Source organism: Homo sapiens, chromosome 1, assembly GCF_000001405.40.
Source record: "Homo sapiens chromosome 1, GRCh38.p14 Primary Assembly".
Lineage (NCBI taxonomy): Eukaryota > Metazoa > Chordata > Mammalia > Primates > Hominidae > Homo > Homo sapiens.
The window spans coordinates 101,076,690-101,096,175 of NC_000001.11; the positions used below are offsets into that span (position 1 = coordinate 101,076,690).

The following is a 19,486-nucleotide window of genomic DNA, read 5'->3' on the forward strand; positions in this document are numbered from 1 at the left end:
ATTATCCAAACCTAGATCACATGCCTGTCCCTGAAATCGGATAGTTTCAGCTCAATCCAAAGCAGGGGGACCGAAGGCACAGGAAGCACGGTTGTCCAAAGAAAATTGTTGATAGTGTTACCAAAAGAAAGGGGAGTGAATGTTAGATGGTAAAATCAGAAAAAAATGTCCACTACACTGTCACTTAACTAAATAGCAGTTATTATTGTGTTTTGTGCCACTTACAGATTCCTATTAAACCTACTACTACATTTTAAAAAATCGCTCTATTTAACAACTTTATTCAGAAAATATATTTAGATTTCCAATTTGGGATATTGCGATACATCTTCTACCTTTGCTTCAAGATGAATATAATTAGCAGGAATTCCTTAACAGGCCTATGTGGAACTCTCATTTAACTTTTATGAGCCTCAGTTTTCTTCCCATTGTCTAGAGAGTTACCCAAACAATTTTCTTTACTTTTGGCCAAGGTATCTCTGCTCCCTGCAGAATATAACAGATTGTTGTCTTATAACTTTTCTCCTTTTCTCTTGTTCCAGAAGCAACAGTTACTTCTTTTAGGCTATTTTCTGTTTTTGTTTGGTTTTGTTTTGTTTTCTTTTCCCTCAAACTGCTAATAACTATATACATACCACTACTTCTCGCTTCTCTTTTTTTACTTTGGCTCTAGATGGAATGATAGGGTATGCATAAATGTTCATGTGGGCTCTGGAGTATACCAGGAACTGAAGTAAGGTACATGGACGTCTTGAATATTGTAACTGAGATGGGCAAGCCTACACCTTTGCAAATAAAGGAGGATTGGGAAAGATTAAGGTGAGCTTTCTCGCAAACAGATGGGTCATGGGAATAAGGAATTCTGAATGCATGAACAGTGATGCTGAAAAGCAGGGGGTCTTCAAACTATACTCAAGGGCCAAATCATTGCCTCTTTTTATAAGTGAAGTTTTATTAGACTACTGCTCCACCCATTCATTTAAATGTGGTCTATGGCTGCTTTAGGACTTAAAATGCCAGAATACTTGTGACAGAAACCTTCTGGCCCTCAAAGCCTAGAATATACACTATCTGGCTCTTTAAAGAAGTTTGCCAACACCTGCTCCATTGTAAGGAGGATATTAGTCGGGTTCTAACAGAATTGCTTGTTGAACTAGGGTTTAAAACACATGGTAGAGACTCCACTGCCATAACCAGAGAGAAGACTGCCAAGAATTAGGCTAACTTGTTCTCAGGCAAAAAGGCTACGTAAAAGGCAGAATCTCAGTTCTGCAGGGCCAGTGCAGGAGGTGAGGAGGCAGGGGTTACACTGGTGTCCGTGGGTCATTGTTCATGCAATGGATACTCGGTCTGGTTGAGGGATACATGCAAGGCTAGAATTTGTGCTGAGTCACCAGATTTAAGATCTGGGAAAAAATAATGTACATTTCTTGACTTCAAAGACGTGGGGGCCATTAATCCAGATTTTACCCTTGTTGAACTAACTCAGGAATGGAAAACACTCTTGGTGAGGAAATGGGACACTGAATAGGGATACTTCCTACCAGCCCAAGACTAGGGTTAGGGAAGGACTCACTTATTGGTAAGAAAGGATTTTTGCCTCTACAGACCTTTACTTAGACCTGTACTTAAATGAGGTAAGAAGTGAGAAAGCAATATTTCTCAAGTGCCTACAAACCTGAGGAGTCTTTTTCCATTTGTATGTTACTCAAGATCTCAAAATGCCACAGCTCTTTAAAAGGGCTTCTTCTCTCCTTTGTATTGGTGGCTTGCAACATGCTATTTGAATCTTTCAGCAGGCTGACCTGTTTGGCTAATGCTATAACCCAAATTAATTGTTCTTTCCTCTATGTTTTTATTTATTTATTTATTTATTTATTTATTTATTTATTTATTTTTTTGAGACAGAGTCTCGCTCTGTTGCCCAGGCTGGAGTGCAGTGGCACCATCTCGGCTCACTGCAAGCTCCGCCTCCCGGGTTCACGCCATTCTCCTGCCTCAGCCTCCCGAGTAGCTGGGACTACAGGCGCCCGCCACCACGCCTGGCTAATTTTTTGTATTTTTAGTAGAGACGGGGTTTCACCGTGTTAGCCAGGATGGTCTCAATCTCCTAACCTCGTGATCCGCCCGCTTCGGCCTCCCAAAGTGTTTTTATTTGATCTTATCACAGTAGTCAGCATATTTTGCCTTGTATTATACTTATATGTGTACATGTAGTCTTCCCCCAGACTAGCCATTACTTGAGAGCAAAATTTTAGCCTTATCCGTCTAAATATCCCCCAAGTGCTTATCTAGTGAATGCCTAATTGTAATGCCTATTGACTTAAATGGAATTTAATTAAATGGGGTTTGTTATATTCTGCTAAGACTGTAGTAGATGTAGACACAAGTCTGATTCTTTTCTTATAACTACCATTTTCCCCTGTTATGGATATATCAAATTACTTACCACCCTTAACATCTCCTCCAGATTAATTTGTCTTGTGTAAGCCCCTAGTTGACCAAAGCTGATGGCTGATTAAATTCCCCCAAGGGAACTCAGCCACACAGCCACATAGGTTTTTTTTCTTTTTTGGTTGCAAAAAGCAGAAAGGTGCGTATGCAACAGAGACCATCTTAAACACGAGAATTATTAGAGTAGCTCACAGAAAGGTATCACTGAACAAGCAAGCTTCAGGAGGTTAGAAACCAGGACAATTCTGAGGACTCGAGCATTGAGAACTCATGAACTCTTTGACCCAGAGCACCCCAAGGCACCTCCACTTAAGACTCAAATTCGAAGGATCTGTGTAAGCCAGCTTGATTCAATAATCTAATTCTGTGCTCAGGAAACAGGTGGTTCCTTTTTTTTTTTTTTTAAATCAGAATTTGGAGTTAAGAGGATGCAGGGAGAGTGGTAGACAAACGGAAACAAGTGTTACCATAGCAATCTATTAGAGGGCAAACTAAGCCACCAGGAGTCTCTCAAGAACAAACAAACAAACAAACAAATGTTATGAATGACTTTTGGCTTAAATGTCATGTAGACTAAGACTGGAGGCGCAATGGAGAAGGAGGGAAAACTGAGAGCTGATAGAAGCAAAATGAAGGATAGGAGTGAGCATCCCCTAAGATGGACAAGGTGCCTTCATTTCCTAATGGTTTCTCCTCTTCTTTTCTTTGAACCTACCAATGTGTGGTTATTTTCCTTGCAATATTGTGTTGTAAGATATCCTTCCAATTTAGAAACAGAAAGGGTAGTAATTGCCTCATGTTAGAATATTTAGCTATAGAATAATAGGAATCAAAATTATTTTAGACATCAAAGAGTATGGAAAATCAAAGATAATCTGAGGCAGCAAGACACAAATCCCATTTGTCAATTCTGCCATTTGGTGATCATGATGGTAGTGATTTGAGATATGTCTAGCTAAGTACCAAGCACTGTTTTAAGTATTTACATATATTGTTCTCTCAAAAACTCTGACGTGTAGGTAGAATTATTAGCCTCATTTTACACATAAGAGAGCTAAAGTATACAAAGAATAAGTAATGGAGCCAGGATTCAAATTTCCTAATTCAACATCAAAGCCTAAATTCCTGAAAGTGCAAGTCTCTCACAAACTTCAGGAATTCCACAGCATACCAGAAATCTTAAGTTTTAGGGTGGTTCGAAACCTTATAAATCCCTTTGAGTCAAAAATTTCTCTTTTTTTCCAGATCCTGTTAAACGTCAGTGTTACTATTTAGCCTTTGATATCTCCAGTAAAGGCAACTTCTTTCTGGACCCAGAAATAAAGCTTTACATTAGCAGCTTCCATAACACCAATAACATGAATGACCATCTACTGAGCAATTGCAGTGCACCAGGATTATGGCTTATGAGCACTTTATGTTTATTATCTCACAACTCACTGAGTTAGATACTCTCCACAACCCAGTGAGGTAAATACTATTACTTCCACAGTATATATTATTATATAATAAAATGCTTAGAATATACACACAGTAACTAAACACTACTTATAAAATATGGCTCTAGATATGTTTGATAAATATTTCCTTCATGAAAACATGGAGGAATTAATTAGCAGTATCTCTCTGCAGCCTTTAGCCCTCGAGAATCATGTAGAAAAGAGGAGCTGTCTTCTCTTTTAGCAGAACATCTGTCAGAGATGGTTTCCCCTGACTTAGACAATTGTGTTTTTTTCCCTTCAGAATGATTGAGTCTCAGAATTGTTCTTTAATCCTCAGTATTTCCATTAAGAAGAGCTTCTATCAAGTGCTTCAAAAGTACCCAATGTGAAGGAGTAATAATGACTCCCTGCTGGTGAGCGAAGTGTGGAGGACACAGGTCCCTCAGCCGTCCACTGGATGCTGCACTGTTTGGCCTGAGCCAACATGGGCAGAAATACAGGCGGCAGCATAAGCAGATGCCAAGAACCTGTCTTGCTTCTACTGTTTTCATTGGGTTACTATATCTCCTTTGTAGTCCAACCTGCAAATTACTTTGAGAAGGGGAGATACACCCCTGGACCAATCTAGGACTATATTTGTTCCCTTGCTAAAGTAGGAAAAAAAATACAGAACCTTTAAATATTGAACTCAAGGGCAACTAATTTAAATTCCTTTCCTTTCATGTTGAAAGTCTTTTGACTGGGTTATTCTGAAGCCATAGCAATTAGGTTACAGTTTACTTCTCTGTTACTTTACCATCTTTAAATTTGGCACCTTCAAAAGGTTGTTCTGTGCGTTTAAAAAAAAAAAGGAACTACCGTTGGATATTGTATTGTTGATGACCATTATTTGATTCTGGATTCTTTTGTGTGTTTGTGTTTGGGTGTTTTTGGTTGTTGTTTGTTTGTTTTCTAGAGACGGGGGGTCTCACTATGTTGTCCAGACTAGATTCGAGCCCCTGAGCTCAAGGGATTCTCCAGCCCCAGCCTCCCGAGTAGCTGGAACTGCAGGCACCCGCCACCACGCCCAGGGACAGTTACTTGATTCTTAATAGTCCAGTCATAATGAGACAGGATACTGCATAAGCCAAAGACCACACAAAGTATCAATGTTAAGTATCAAGAGGGTGTGGAGGAAGTGGGTTACAACCACTTTGTCTCCCAACTGTTGTATGTTTTGCCTTTAAAAATTTTTTTAAGTACGTTAAATTCTAATGTACTCAGATGTGGCTGAAACAATGACAAAACATTAGTTTTCTTTAAATATGCGTGACTTTTAAGCTTTTTCCCTTTCCCAGTGACTTGCTTCTCCACTAAGCTCTTTTTTTCTTTTTTTTTTTTCCTCAAATATTATTGTTTCATGTCACTGTGACAAGTTTAGTCTACTGGAAATTCCTATGTCCTCTGTAATTTAGGTTTTAAGCAACATATGATTTATCTTGTTATTTTAAAAAAACTATCTGCCTTCCCTAAGTGGGCAACTCTCTGGCATCCTTAATATTCTTCTATAGAAATTGTGATGAAAGAACAGATAAGCCTAAGTAAATCTAGCGTGTGGAGCTCCTTTAAAATGTGAAGACCTTGCCAACTGGTTAAAAATAAAACTTGGTTTTGTCCTAAATATCCTTGCTGGGCCTATTATACATAAAAAAAGGGGCCACAGCCCATTTGCAAGGCTTCTGAATGAACTCCATTCATTCTGTACTTGGAAATGTCTCTTCAGCCACAAAAAGAAACAATAGTTATAACCTAATTTCTTTGGTGCCAATATCAGCAGAAGAAGAGCCAAGAGACCATTATGAAAACTCTAGTAAGTTCTCTTGGTGATTATATAATGCTGTATTCATTGATCATATTTCTGTATTTAAATAAGTACATTTTTTAAAACATCATAAAGTGGATCAGTAATGCTGTAATATCACATTTCATGTATTATACAACATTTTTGAAATGGAGTACTCCAAAGTAATTTGCTTCTTATGGTTACCAAAGTTTAAAGAATACCCTAACATGCACTCCAAGATTTTAAGAGGAAAGGCTTTGTGTTTTTCATTACTGTATTTTGAAATCTGAGAGTGCAAAACTAGTTTTCTTAGGTAAACCCCGTAATCAGTTTCCACATTTACCTGTAAAAGTCAGTGGAGGGCATACATCTGGAAGTAGTAGTGGCGGTACACAATGTGTGTTAATATGATTTCCAAGGGGTATCTAGAGTAAACTTTCTTAATCACAGATCTGATCTGAGCATGCCACTCCTTTCTTAAAATCTTTTGTTGATTTTCCATTTCCCTAAAAGGAAGGCCCACTGGAGCATGGGCCTTGCAAAGTCCTCTTTCTGGCTTCTGCCTGCCTGCCTTTTCAGCTTCATCTCTGCCATCTTCCCTGAATGAACTTTTGTCAGTGGCCTCGCTCTTTCTACCTATGAGATGTTGTTTCTGCATGTTCTTGCATGGAATTCTCTTCCTCCCAACCCTGTTTCATTCCTTTAATCTGTACAACTCTTTCTTATCCTGAAGTCTTTATGTTAAGGTTGCCTTTTCAGGAAGACTTTTAATTGTATTAGCTAATTAATTAATTAATAGTCTGAGGTATTTGGAGCTGAGATTCTATGGGGATTAGTTGCTGGAGGGTAGTTTAGAGCCAGATTGTGAAGGACTTTCTAAACTGTGCTTTCAAGGTTTTGAACAGGAAAATGATGTAGACTTTCTGTTTTTTGTAAGTTTGGAGGATGGCTTGTGTCTTAAAAGAATATGTAACATAACCATCTAATTTGTGAGTAGTGGACTAAGGAAACACCACTCTAACCTTTTTCTCTCTGCGATAATCCCATCTTCAGCCTCTCAAGCACTGTGAAAAATCACTTTCTCTTGTTGTATTCTTGGAGCCCCTGCTAATTCATTATTGAAAAATACCTGCTGCCTGCATTTGGCCTTATGTTGTCATTTACTTGGTAAGTAAAGCTAAATATAATATTAACTAAAATTAAAAGACCATTAAATTATTGGATAGTGTCTACTATAGTGGTTTAGAGTACAGGCTCTAGAGAGATCTGATTTAAAAGTTTTGCTCTGCCACTTGCTAGCAATATAGATGTGGACAGGCTATTTAGATAATTTACTTAGCAAAATAAACTTGAACTGAAGGGTAGGAGATTGAGGCAAGGAAGGTAGACCCTAAAGCAGTTTGCCAAATACAAAATCTCTTGGAATTTGAGAGTGTTATCTAAAAATCCATGTGAATCTTGTATTCTCTTCCATAATACATTTCTGTTTGTTTTAATATAAAAATACTTTTAAGTTGGAGGAGGGGGTTAAGTGGGTTGGTGATTATTGCCTCAAATTTTTTATACAATTATTTCTCCAGGAAAACACACACTGTTTATTCATGGCTTGAAGCAGTCTTTTTTTTTAAACATACTTTTATAGTATACAAGCATGTGAACAGACATGCTTCTGGTAACGGAAATTACCAGAAATGTAAATATAATATCTCATTAGAGCAGAAATTCTGCATTGATCTTCAGCCACTGATTTACAGTGTTTACCCCAATATTACTATATTCTAGATAAAACGTTAAAAATCTAGCTCAATAGTGTTACAAAATAAACTGATTATTTCCTTCCTCTCACCATATATACATCTAGATTATTCCATTCTTTCTAGTTACTCTCACAGGAACCTCAAGAGGCATGCTGGTTTATCTCTTTTCCTGCCTCCCCCCAGATATTTTAGTTAAATATTTTACTCTTTATACAATCCATCTTAAACATGTAATTCTTTCTATCACTTCTTTTCTGTTTATTTCATGCAGTCAGCAGTCCATTTTAGGCTTTTGCCATTTTTTCTTGTCTGTAGTATCACTGTGAGTTCAAGAATAAGTTTTCTATATACATTCTCTTTCCTCTTTTGCTTAGCCTATGAACTGTATTCCTTTATTGTCTCTGCATCAACTACAAAGTTAAGTATTGATTTCCAAAACAGGCCTGCCTTCCCCATATTATGCTTACCTTGTTTTCCAGCCCAATCTTTTCCGTTACTCGCCTTAATGGTCCATCCTTTATAGCCAAAATGAACCTTCCACTCTTCCCTGAGCATCCACTGACTCACTTGTCTCCAGGCCTCAGCACCAATTATCCCCACTGCTTATCACTACTGTGTACATTGCCCAAAGCCTGTCTCACAGGCCTCCTCCTCCTCCATAAATCCTTCCTTGATCATCCCAGCTGAATGTGTGGGGTCTCCCTCTCCTTTCATTGTTTCATTTATGGAACAGATATTTATCAAATGCCTAATGTATATCAAGTGATAAACTAATGATGGGGATTTAGCAATAACTAGGACAGAATTATTACCCACTCTAATGGAGGTTATAATACAACACAAAAGTGGCATTGATAACTAATTTCAAGTTTCACGCATTTTCCAAGGGTCTGTGCATGGCGTTTAGAAGGCTACACCTTAGGCTGGGGGTCAAGAATGTCTTCCCTGATGTGAGGTTTACACAGAGATCTGAAGAATGAAGAGTCCAGCTAAGTTAAGTGGGAGCGGATTAAGGGAATGCAAGGACATGAAAGAGTGTCCTAGGCAGAGGGAACAACATATACAAAGGCCCTGAGGTGGGAGTGAACAAGGAACTGAGAGAAGAACTGAGAGAAGGCCACTGTGGAAAGCCAGATGCTGTGTGACATGAATAATGGGACACAGGAAATTGAGATATTAGCAAAAGAGAGATTGATGACCCATAGGCTTGAAGATGTACTGGAACTAAAGTAAGGGGCGAGGATAAATAAAAAGAGGGAGAAATTGGAGAAACAGAGTGCTTGGAAGCCCTGATGAATTTGAGGAAAAGGATGGTGATAGAGTTGACCTAGCCAGCTAGAAGAGTAGTACTTTTTAGTCAGTGAGCCCTCCATCCCATTTCTCATTAATTCTTGTAACACTTTCTCACTTCCTATATTCTGTCATATTTTATAGTTGTTTATATAATTATCTTATTCTTTATACCAATTGTAGTTTCCCTGGGTGCTTATTATGGATTAACAATTATATTATTATTAATAATATGGGTGAATGTTTACAAAGAAAGAAGTCTTTTTTGCTATTCTTATTTTATTTCTTTAATCTTTGATCAGGGGTTTTTATTTATGAATTCATCTTATATGTCACTTGACAAACACTGAATGCTGAATGCCACAGAGTACATGACACTTTAGCAGCATAAAGAAAGGCACCAAAACCAAGCAGCAAACTACATGCTACAAAACAACAATTTTTGGAATTAATGAATGAGGCTAATTTTCTGGAGTCCTCTCTCTCTTTTAAAATGTAAGAAGTGTTAGTATGGCCAGGCATGGTGGCTCATGCCTGTAATCCCGGCCCTTTGGGAGGCCGAAGTGGGCAGATCACCTGAGATCAAGAGTTTGAGACCAGCCTGGCCAACCTGGGGAAACCCTGTGTCCACTAAAAATACAAAAATTAGCCAGGCATGGTGGCACGTGCCTGTAATCCCAGCAAATTGGGAGGCTGAGGCAGGAAAATCACTTGAGCCTGGGAGGCAGAGGTTGCAGTGAGCTGAGATAGCACCACTGCACTCCAGCCTGGGCAACAGAGTGAGACTCAAAAAAAAAAAAAATGTAGGAAGCGTTAGTATGTCTAGGTCTATTCACAGGTTTGGAAGGAGAATGGGGATAGAAGACAGAGCAGAAAATTAGTGGTAGGATTCAGTAGATCAGATCTCCAGCTTCTTAGTACCTTTGATATTTAGTCCAGTTATTGAATTTCTCTTCAATTCTTCAGTCAGAACTTCTTTTCATTCCAGTGGGATTGCTTCACACTTAAGAGAATTAATGTACTTATACAAAGCCATTTTCAGAAGGGAATCACTAATATTATTATGATGTAAACAAATGATACTAGGTACTTTTCCCTTAAAGTGTCTGTTTTAAACACACATTTGTTTTTCTGCTACATCGAGTTCATTGAATCTCATTTGTATTTTCTTCGTATGTTACCTTATACAGTTATACGCAGGATGTCCCTGTTTTTTCAGTTAGCTGTTAGATAAATTCACCATACATTCGCTTTCAACCTTGTGTTTAAAAAAAATTAGTTACATGAAGTAGTCATCCACATGACATAAGAGACCTAATTTTAATAGGAAATAATATTAAAAATGTAACTCCTAGAAAATGTTAGTGATCATCATCTTCCTTTATTTTTTTTCCTAGGTACTTCCTAAGCGTGGCTACTCCAATGAAGCTTTAGTATATGTACTGAAAGAAGATCCTCTCATACTGCCACAGCCAAGAGATAAGGTTGTAAATCTTTATTGGGAGAAGCCGTCAAGGACAGTTCTGTGAAATGAAAGGATCTCTGGATCACCACAAAGTCTGGCTCAGTGACTATGGCTTTGCAAACACTAAACATTCCTGTCTCAAGTCCTGTAGATGGCTTGAAATAGTATACATAAGCATGCCTTATAAACATCTTCAGTCTTTATCAACTCTTTGGAGATTCAGCCATTCTTTTTTGTACTTTAGGGAATTAAATCATTTTATAATGTATAAATCTGAGCATGGCCGATGGCAGAAGAAATTTTGTCATACGTTTTTAAAGAAATAAAAATGTATTATGTTTTAAAATTCCTTTAACTGTTTTTCTTACAAAATTCCCAACAACTTAGTTACCAAGTAAACTATCTCAGATATGATTTTTCAGTCCTTGCTAATCTATTTATAAAATCTTTTGCTATTTTATAATCTTATTATTTGTGTCTGTCCTTAAGTGTTCATTTGTTTTTATGTCTGTGTATGTCATGTTTATTTGAGCTGTTTAATGTAAAGTAAAACAAGAACTCCCTGCATCTTATAGCATAAAAAGCAATGTTTTTCATATTCTTACCCTAATAGAAACCCTCATTCACAGAGTGATGGCTAATGCTCTACCTTTCTGCAATTCCTAGTCAGAGAACTGTCCAAGTCTCACATGACCTGCATCTTGAAGAAGAAACCTATCACGAGTTAGTTCTTAGCTATACAGGTTAACAAACTCAAATGACCCACTAACTAAATCTTGATTCTTAACAAAAACACTATGGTCTATCATCATAACAATGTCAATTTCTCACATTATCATTTTGAATCAACAATATGCCATCATATCAAAGAGAACTTATCATATTAGCATATTGAATATAAAATTACAGTGCAGCTAGTTCCAAGACCTGAATGAGTGTGGTATATAAAAAGAGCAGTGGATTAGAAATAAGGCAATCTGACGTGCTTATCTCAGTTCTGCTGATACTTGCTATGTGTATTTAAGGCTAATTATTTAAATGGGCTTTATTTAAAAAGGGAAAAGAAGTAGAGGCATGCCCATTCCTTTTAAGAATATGACCCGGAATTTCCGTGTATCATCTCTGCTCATGTACCTTTGGCCAGAGCTTAATCAGTTTGTCCCAGGTAGTAGGAAAGGAGGCTGGAATATGTGGCCTTTAGCTGAAACTTCGAGGATTCTAAAGGAATTGGACTATTGAAAGACAAGTAATAGTCTTTGCCATTGCTCTCTTATCAGGAAAGCAAATGTTCTTTCAGACCCTCCTCCCCTGCCCCACTGAGTGATTCCATCAGATGAATCACCATCTATGGCAGATAGACCCTTATGAAATCTGTATGCAGCAGATTTCTACTTAGGCCATAATTGAGCATATAGTTACTCCTAGATTTAAAAAAGCTGGGGAAGCAGGAAACAGGATTGACATGATTGGCTTTGACCAAAGTTTCACAGACTTTCTTGGTGCACAGCTCCCTTGGGTTCTTAATTTTTTTCGTGGTACCAAAAGAAATACATAAAAGTTTCATATACAATTCAATAAGCATTTGAACTATGACACATAAATTGAAAGAGAAGTAATACCTTGTTCATTCTTAGATAACCACAGTTACTACTGGGCTATATATACCTGTTGGGCACTCTACAACTTCTCAAACCTTGGACTCAGATTGGATGGTGCCACCCTATGTCTTGCCAGACAGTGCTTGCTTTTCATCACAGCAACCACTGAAAACCCAGCTTTGCAATGACATCAATGACATAATATTCTAAAGAAATGTAGCATGGTCTAATGTGGAAACTGTGAATCACCCCAAGCTAATAGTGGGCATGCTATCTGCCAGAAGTTAAGTCCCTATTTCCCTTGAAAATTTGAATATATTATAGCTCCCCCAGTGAGTTTACTTTAGCACCCTTGAGGGCTGGGCACACAGTTTGGGAACCATGGGCTTAGACTAATCATCGTTTATTTTCTGGGCTGGACATATTGCTCCCTAGACAAGAATTAGTTTTTTAGAGGGGAAGAAAGAAGAATGGAAAATATTTAGGAAACCGACTATTTCTGCCTCCTTCTATTCCAGCTAAACTACATGATCTTTAAGAAGAGAGGCTATGTCTGTTTTTACACACTTTTCTGTGGCATAGTTCTGGGTATTTCAAAGAACATAGAGGCTTGGTACAGTGGCTCAAGCCTGTAATCCCAGCACTTTGGGAGGCTGAGGTGGGCAGATCCCTTGAGGTCAGGAGTTCAAGACCAGCCTGACCAACATTGCAAAATACCATCTCTACTAAAAAATACAAAAATTAGTCAGGTGTGATGGTGCACACCTATAGTCCCAACTACTTGGGAAGCTGAGGCAGGAGAATTGCTTGAACCTGGGAGGCGGAGGTTGCAGTGAGCTGAGATCATGCCACTGTACTTCAGCCTGGGTGACAGAGAAAGACTCCATCTCAAAAAAGAAAAAAAAGAACATACATATTTATTAAATGATTAAGAAATGAAGTTTATATGATCAATGAAATATGATTAATAACATTAACCAACCATAAAATGCCAGATTATAGGAAATTTGTTGCCTATACAACAGGCTTCTGTGTAAATTCAAGGGCCTGGACTATGCCTTCCTAATTTCTTACCACCAGTGCCCAATAATTGTTTGGTATATTGTAGGTGAGAGAAAAATGTTGTTCAGATGAATTGGTGAATGTCTCAGTGAGAGCTAGTTCTGTTCCCAAACACCATTACAAAGGAGTTGCATTACACTGCTAATGAAAATGCTTATTAGTGGACTCTTAATGTAAATGCTCATGTTGACTGCCAAGAAAGAAAAATAACCACTTTATCTTATCACTATGGATCTAGGGCTTTTTTTGTTACCACAGTCACCACTAGAAAAACTGACAAAAAGAGAAAAGCAGAACTATTCTGAGATATAAGATGAACTTTTCTTAGAATGGTTTATATTGTCAGCAGCTAAACTGTTTCAGTATTCAGGATTATTACATAAAGCCGGGAAAGTGACTATTTTCAAAAGAGCTACCAAACTTTATGACAGTCATTTGAGCAAAATGTATCTTTCTCCTTTTTCTTGTTCCATAGCCTAAATAGGCTTTTCTCTGTTTTGATGGTTTTGCCATTCAAGCTCATTCTGTTTTCTTGGGAAGCTATGCAAGCTCTTTGGTTTCTGTGATTGTAAAGTGTATGGCTCTGTGACAACTCCATGGAAGAATGTGTATGTGCAAGCGCTTTAGATTTGTCTAGATCTAAAAATTTTCTATGGTTATTTGAGTTTTTTCAGTAATATATTTAGAAAATTATTTATGTCTCTGTCTGTATTACTAAATCAAAAGTATTTTGAAGGCAGGGACTATGTCCTTTTCATTTTTGAATCCCCAGAGCATTGCATCTGAACCCCCAAGACCTGGTACATAGTAGGTACCCAATTCATATTTGTCGAGTTAATAAACTCTTTCTTAGCAAAATTTTCCCAATAGCACAGTACAGAGTTTGTTCATGATAAATACTGAATGTATTTTTATTTTGTGAGAGCCTAAATCATTTTTAATTCTTTCAATGTTTCTGAAAACTAACAGATAGGATGTATTCTCTCTCTTTTCTATATGGAAAAATATAATTATCCTTAATGATGGATACCAAATCTTGAATTTGTACTATACAAGAAATAATTTATTGACAAAATATCTTAAAACATTCTTTGTTTTTTTGAAGAATATTAGATTTCTTTGTTAATGTATTTCTTTTTTACCAGTTTAATAAAAGCTTTTGCTGGGCATTTCTAGATGTTCAGGGGCCAGACTGATGTTGCAGTTGTATGTTCCTAGATTTTATTTCAAAACTACATTTTTATTTATTTTTTGAGCATGAAAGTAATATATGCTCAGTGTAAACAATTAGGTCATTATAAATATATTTAACAGGAATACCAGAGATAACTTCTGTTAATAATTCAATGTATTACTACAATTTTTTCTATGAATTTAATATAATAATATTGTTGGAAATTTTGATGTAATTATTTAAGTGAAATTGAATCATACTGCACATACTATTTTGCAGTTTTTTAATAGTGTATTTAAACTTTTAAGTGCAAAAGATTTTCAAGACTAGCAAATATAAATCTACCTTATTCTGTTTAATTGCTGGAGCCTACTTTTAGATGTTTACAGTACCCTATACTCCTACTTTAAGTTACTTACAAATTTAAATTTGTAATTAAGTTATTTATATAATTGTAGGTTTCATATCTGTATCCCTAAATAGATTATAAATTCCATGCCTAACCCATGCTGCATGAAACAGATACATATAATGGCAATAGGTGCTATGAATGAATGAACTAGTAAATGGTGGTATTCATCCCAGAACTTTCTTTACAAAGCCTGTGCTCTTTCCACAATGCCACGCTTCCTCCTCTTAGTGGTTCCTTTATATATTATGGGAATGTTCATAATATCATTATTAATGGTTACATTATTTTGAGTTTTATTACGTATGTTTAGGTCAATTGTGAAGACAGAACTAAGCAATTTAGAAATTCAGAAATATAGGAATAATAATTATATACAGACATACCTTGAAGATATTGTGGATTTGGTTCCAGACAAGTGCAATAAAGTGAATATTGCCATAAAGCAAGTCACACATATTTCTTGGTTTCTCAGTACATACAAAAGTTATGTTTACACTATACTATAGCCTATTACATGTGCAATAGCATTGTCTAAAAAAGCACGTAACTTAATTAAAAATACTTTATTGCTAAAAATTGCTAACGGTCATCTGAGCCTTCAGTGAGTGAATCTTTTTGCTGATGGGGGTCTTGTCTTCATACTGATGGTTGCTGACTGATCAGAGTGGTCAAGACTGGGGTGGCTGCGGCAATTTCTTAAAATAAGACAATGAAGTTTACCGTATCAGTTGACTTCTTTCACAAAAGATTTCTCTGTAGTATGCAGTGTTTTTTTGATACCATTTTACCCACAGTAGAACTTCTTTCAAAATTTGAGTCAGTTCTCTCAAATCTTGTCACTGCTTTTTGAACTAAGTTTATATAATATTCCAAATCCTTTGTCATTTCAACAATGTTCACAGCATCTTCACCAGGATTAGATTTCATCTCAAGAAATGACTTTCTTTGCCCATTCATAAGAAGCAACTGCTCATCCAAGTTTTATAATGAGATTGCAACAATTCAGTCCCATATTCAGGCTTCACTTCATATTCTTATTCTCTTGCTATTTCTACCATATCTATAGTTACTTCCTCCACTGAAGCCTTGAACCCCTCAAAGTCATTCATGAGGGTTGGAATCAACCTCTTCCAAACACATATCAATGTGGATATTCTGACCTCCTCCCATGAATCACGAATGATCTTAATGGCACCTAGAATGGTGAGTCCTTTCCAGAAGGTTTTCAATTTACTTTGCCCAGATCCATCAGATGAATCACTATCTATGGCAGCTATAGCCTTACGAAATGTATTTCTTAAATAATAAGACTCAAAAGTCAAAATTACTTCTTGATCCACAGGATGCAGAATGGATGTTGTGTTAGCAGACATGAAAACAACACTAACTTCCTTGTACATCTCCATCAGAGCTCCTGGGTTAGTAGGAGCATTATCAATGAGCAGTCATATTTTAAAAGGAATCTTTTTTTCTGACCAGCAGTTCTCAACAGTGGGCTAAAAATATTCAGTAAACCATGCTATAGACAGATGTGCTGTCATGCAGGCTTTGTTGTTTTATTTATAGAGCACAGGCAGAGTAGACTTCGCATAATTCTTAAGGGCCCTAGGGTTTTCACAATGGTAAATTAGCGTTGCCTTCAACTTAGGTCACCAGCTCCATTTGCCTCTCACGAGAGTCAGCCCTCTTTTAAAGGTTTGAAGCCAGCCATTGACTTCTTCTCTCTAGCTATGAAAGTCCTAGATGGCATCTTCTTCCAATATAAGATTGTTTTATCTGTGCTGAAAATTTGTTGTTTAGTGTAGCCACCTTCATTTATAGTCTTACCTAGATCTTCTGGATAACTTGCTGCAGCTTCTACATCAGTACTTGCTGCTTCACCTTGAGCTTTTATGTTATGAAGACAGTTTCTTGATCTCATGAACCAAGCTCTGCTAGCTGCAAGCTCTTCTACTGCTTCCTCACCTCTCTCAGCCTTCATGGAATAGAATTGAGTTATGAACTTGCTCTGGATTAGGTTTTGGCCTAAAAGAATGTTGTGGCTGGTTTGATCTTCTATCCAGTCCAATAAAACTTTCTTCATATCAGCAATAAGGCTATTTTGCTATCTTATCATTCATGCATTCACTGGAGTAGCACTTTTAATTTCCTTTAATAACTTTTTGCATTCACAATTTAGCTGTTTGGCTCAAGGGGCCTGGCTTTTGACTATTTTGGCTTTTGACATGAATATCTCACTAGATTAATTATTTCTTGCTTTTAATTTAAAGTAAGAGACAAGAGATGTGACTCTTCCTTTCATTTGAACACCCAGAGGCCATTGTAGGGTTATTAGTTGGCCTAGTTTCAAAATTGCTGTGTCTCAGGGAAAAGGGAGGTCCAAAGACAGGGTGAGAGACAGGGAAACAGTCGTTTCGGTCAGTCAGTCGGAGCACACACATTTATGGGTTAAGTTCACTGTAGTATATAGGCACGATTCATGGTGCCCCCAGACTAATTACAATAGTAACATGAAAGATCACTGATCACATAGCATCATAACAGATATAATAATAAAAAATTAGAAATATTGCAAACTTTACCAAAATATGATTCAGAGATAAGAAGTAAGCACGTGCTGTTGGAAAAATGATGCCAATGAACTTGCTTAACACAGGATTGCCAAAAACCTTCAATTTATAAAAATCACAGTATCTCTGAAACACAATAAAATGAAGTATGCCTGTAATGACAAAAATAACAGAGGTTTTAAAATTTTTAAGTTGTTAGATCTTATCAATTTTGTCAAGGTTTACATGACACAGGCTAAGGATTTTATTTTTTAATCTAATGCTTAATTTCTTGATTTTATAGCAGGAAAAAAGTAATATCTCATGAATTTTTTGTTATAGCACAGTGCACAATTTATACCAAATATTTTTATTTTCAAATATGACTTTAAAATCTTGTAGAAGTCTATCTTTCTCTTCCAGAGAGTGGTACATTTTAAAGCCTTTTTAAAGACTTTATTCTTATGGAACAGTTTTAGATTTATAGCGAAAGTGAGCAGAAGGTACAGATATTTTCCATATACGCTCTGCCTCTCCGAATACATGGCTTTCCCCATTATCAACATCCCTCATCAGAGTGTTAGATTTACTACAACTGATGAATTGACATTGACACATGGTAGTCACCCAAAGTCTATAGTTTAATGTTCACACTTCGCATCATACCCGCTATGAGTTTGGACAAATTTATAATGATGCATATGTGAAGGAAAATTTTGCAAGACATAGAATTCTTGGTTGGTGGTTTTTTCTCTACCACCTTAACTATTTCACTCCACTCTCTTCTTGCTGCGTGGTTTCTGAGGAGAAGTCAAATGTAATTTTTATCTCTACTGCTCTATATGTAACATATTTTCTCCCCCTCCCCCCCACCGGCTTCTTTCAGTAATTTTTTCTTTATCTTTGACTTTCTGTAATTTGAAAATGATATGTGTATGTGTAGCTATTCTAGCATTTATCCTGCTTGACGTTCTCTGAGCTTTCTGGATCTGAACTTTGGTGTCTGGCATTCATTTTGAGACATTTTCGGTCATTACCATTTTGAATATTTGTTCTGTCTGAGTTTTAGTCCATTCAAGCTGGTCTAACAGAACACCATAGACTAGTTGGCCTATATATAAAACAAACATTTTTCTCCCGTAGTTCTGATGGCTGGGAAGCCTAAGATCAAGAAGTTAGCAGATTTGGAGTCTGGTGAGGGCTTGCTTCTTGGTTCGTATTTGGCTGTCTCTTGACTGTGCTCTCACATGGCAAAAGGAGTGAGGGAGTTCTCTGGGGTCTTTTTCATAAAGGACTAATCTGATTCATGAGGGCTCCACCCTCATGATGTAATTACCTCCCCAAACCTCCAACTCCAAATACCACCACACTAGGGATTCAGTTTCAACATAAAAATTTTGGGGGGACACAAACATGCAATTTATAGCATTCTATCCCTGGTCCCTTAAAGTTTACGTTTTTCTCATATGCAAAATGTCCCCATTCCATCCCGATAGCCCTAAAGTTTTAACTCATTCCAGCATTAACTTTAAGTCAATGCTGGAATTTAAGTCATTTAAATAGGTCAAGTATTGGTGACACTTGAGGTATAATTTATCTTGAGGTAAATTGCTCTCCAGCTATGAAGAACCTGTGAAATCAAACATGTCCTGTGCATTATATACAATGTTGAGACAGGCATAGGATGGACATTGTCATTCTAAAAGGGACAAATAGAAAAGAAAAAAGAAGTGACAGGTCTAAGGTAAATGTAAAACCTAATGGGGCAGGCAACATGAAACATTAAAGCTTGAGAATAATCCTTTATGGCTCAATGCTTTGCCTTCCAGACCTACTATTTTTGTGGTCCCAAATCCACATCTCTCATGGGTGAGAGTTGTATGTTTGTGACTCTTGTAGGCAGCAATTCTGGCTCAATGGGGTTCCAGGCTTGCACCTTCCCCAGGCTGGAATCATACACTGGTGGCTCTGCTGGTCTGATGTCACGGAGGCAGCCTCACCCCCTTGTCTCCACTGGGCATTGCCCTAGTGGGAACCTTTTGCCACGGCCCTACCCATGCTGCTGCTCTCTTCCTGGGCCTCTTGGCTATCCTGGTTGGAGTCCTGTGCCCATGGCTCTGCTGAGAAGTCCTGCCTTTGAAATATAGGTGGAGGTAGCAAGGCCCCCCTGGCTTTGCTGGGTGCACCCCTTTTCACAGGTCTCTGTGTGGGCCCCACCCCTGAGCCACTGGACAGGGGTATCCTGGCCCATCTGGACTGGAAACGTGGCCCCACCCTTTTGAAACTATTCTGACCTAGACCCTTGCACTCTGGGTCTGTGATGGGAGGTAAAGTCCTGATAACATCTGAACTGTTATTATTCCATCATCTTAGGGAATAGCTTCTGGCTTCTATTGAGATGGCTGATCAATACTAACATCCTTTTCAAATAGTTGCCGGGCTACACCCTTAGTGTTTTCTT

At 37.4% G+C, this 19,486-nt stretch overlaps 1 long non-coding RNA gene across 1 annotated transcript in view, besides 2 other annotated features; it reads left to right on the forward strand.

The window, feature by feature from the left end:
• DPH5-DT (DPH5 divergent transcript) overlaps window positions 1-10,690 on the forward strand; it is a 61,534-nt gene extending 50,844 nt beyond the window's left edge. The window contains exons 3-5 of the long non-coding RNA NR_109849.1: window positions 674-819; window positions 6,772-6,885; window positions 10,163-10,690. This is a non-coding gene — a long non-coding RNA (DPH5 divergent transcript). The remainder of the gene's footprint in view (window positions 1-673; window positions 820-6,771; window positions 6,886-10,162) is intronic.
• Window positions 4,976-5,055: a silencer, noted in NCBI's record as "silent region_1123". NCBI's record gives its function as "represses an Ori minimal core promoter by ATAC-STARR-seq in GM12878 lymphoblastoid cells {active_cell/tissue: GM12878}" and the evidence as "EXISTENCE:reporter gene assay evidence [ECO:0000049][PMID:35858748]".
• Window positions 12,964-13,258: a silencer, noted in NCBI's record as "tiled region #5182; HepG2 Repressive non-DNase unmatched - State 24:Quies". NCBI's record gives its function as "represses a minimal TATA promoter and a strong SV40 promoter by Sharpr-MPRA in HepG2 cells {active_cell/tissue: HepG2}" and the evidence as "EXISTENCE:reporter gene assay evidence [ECO:0000049][PMID:27701403]".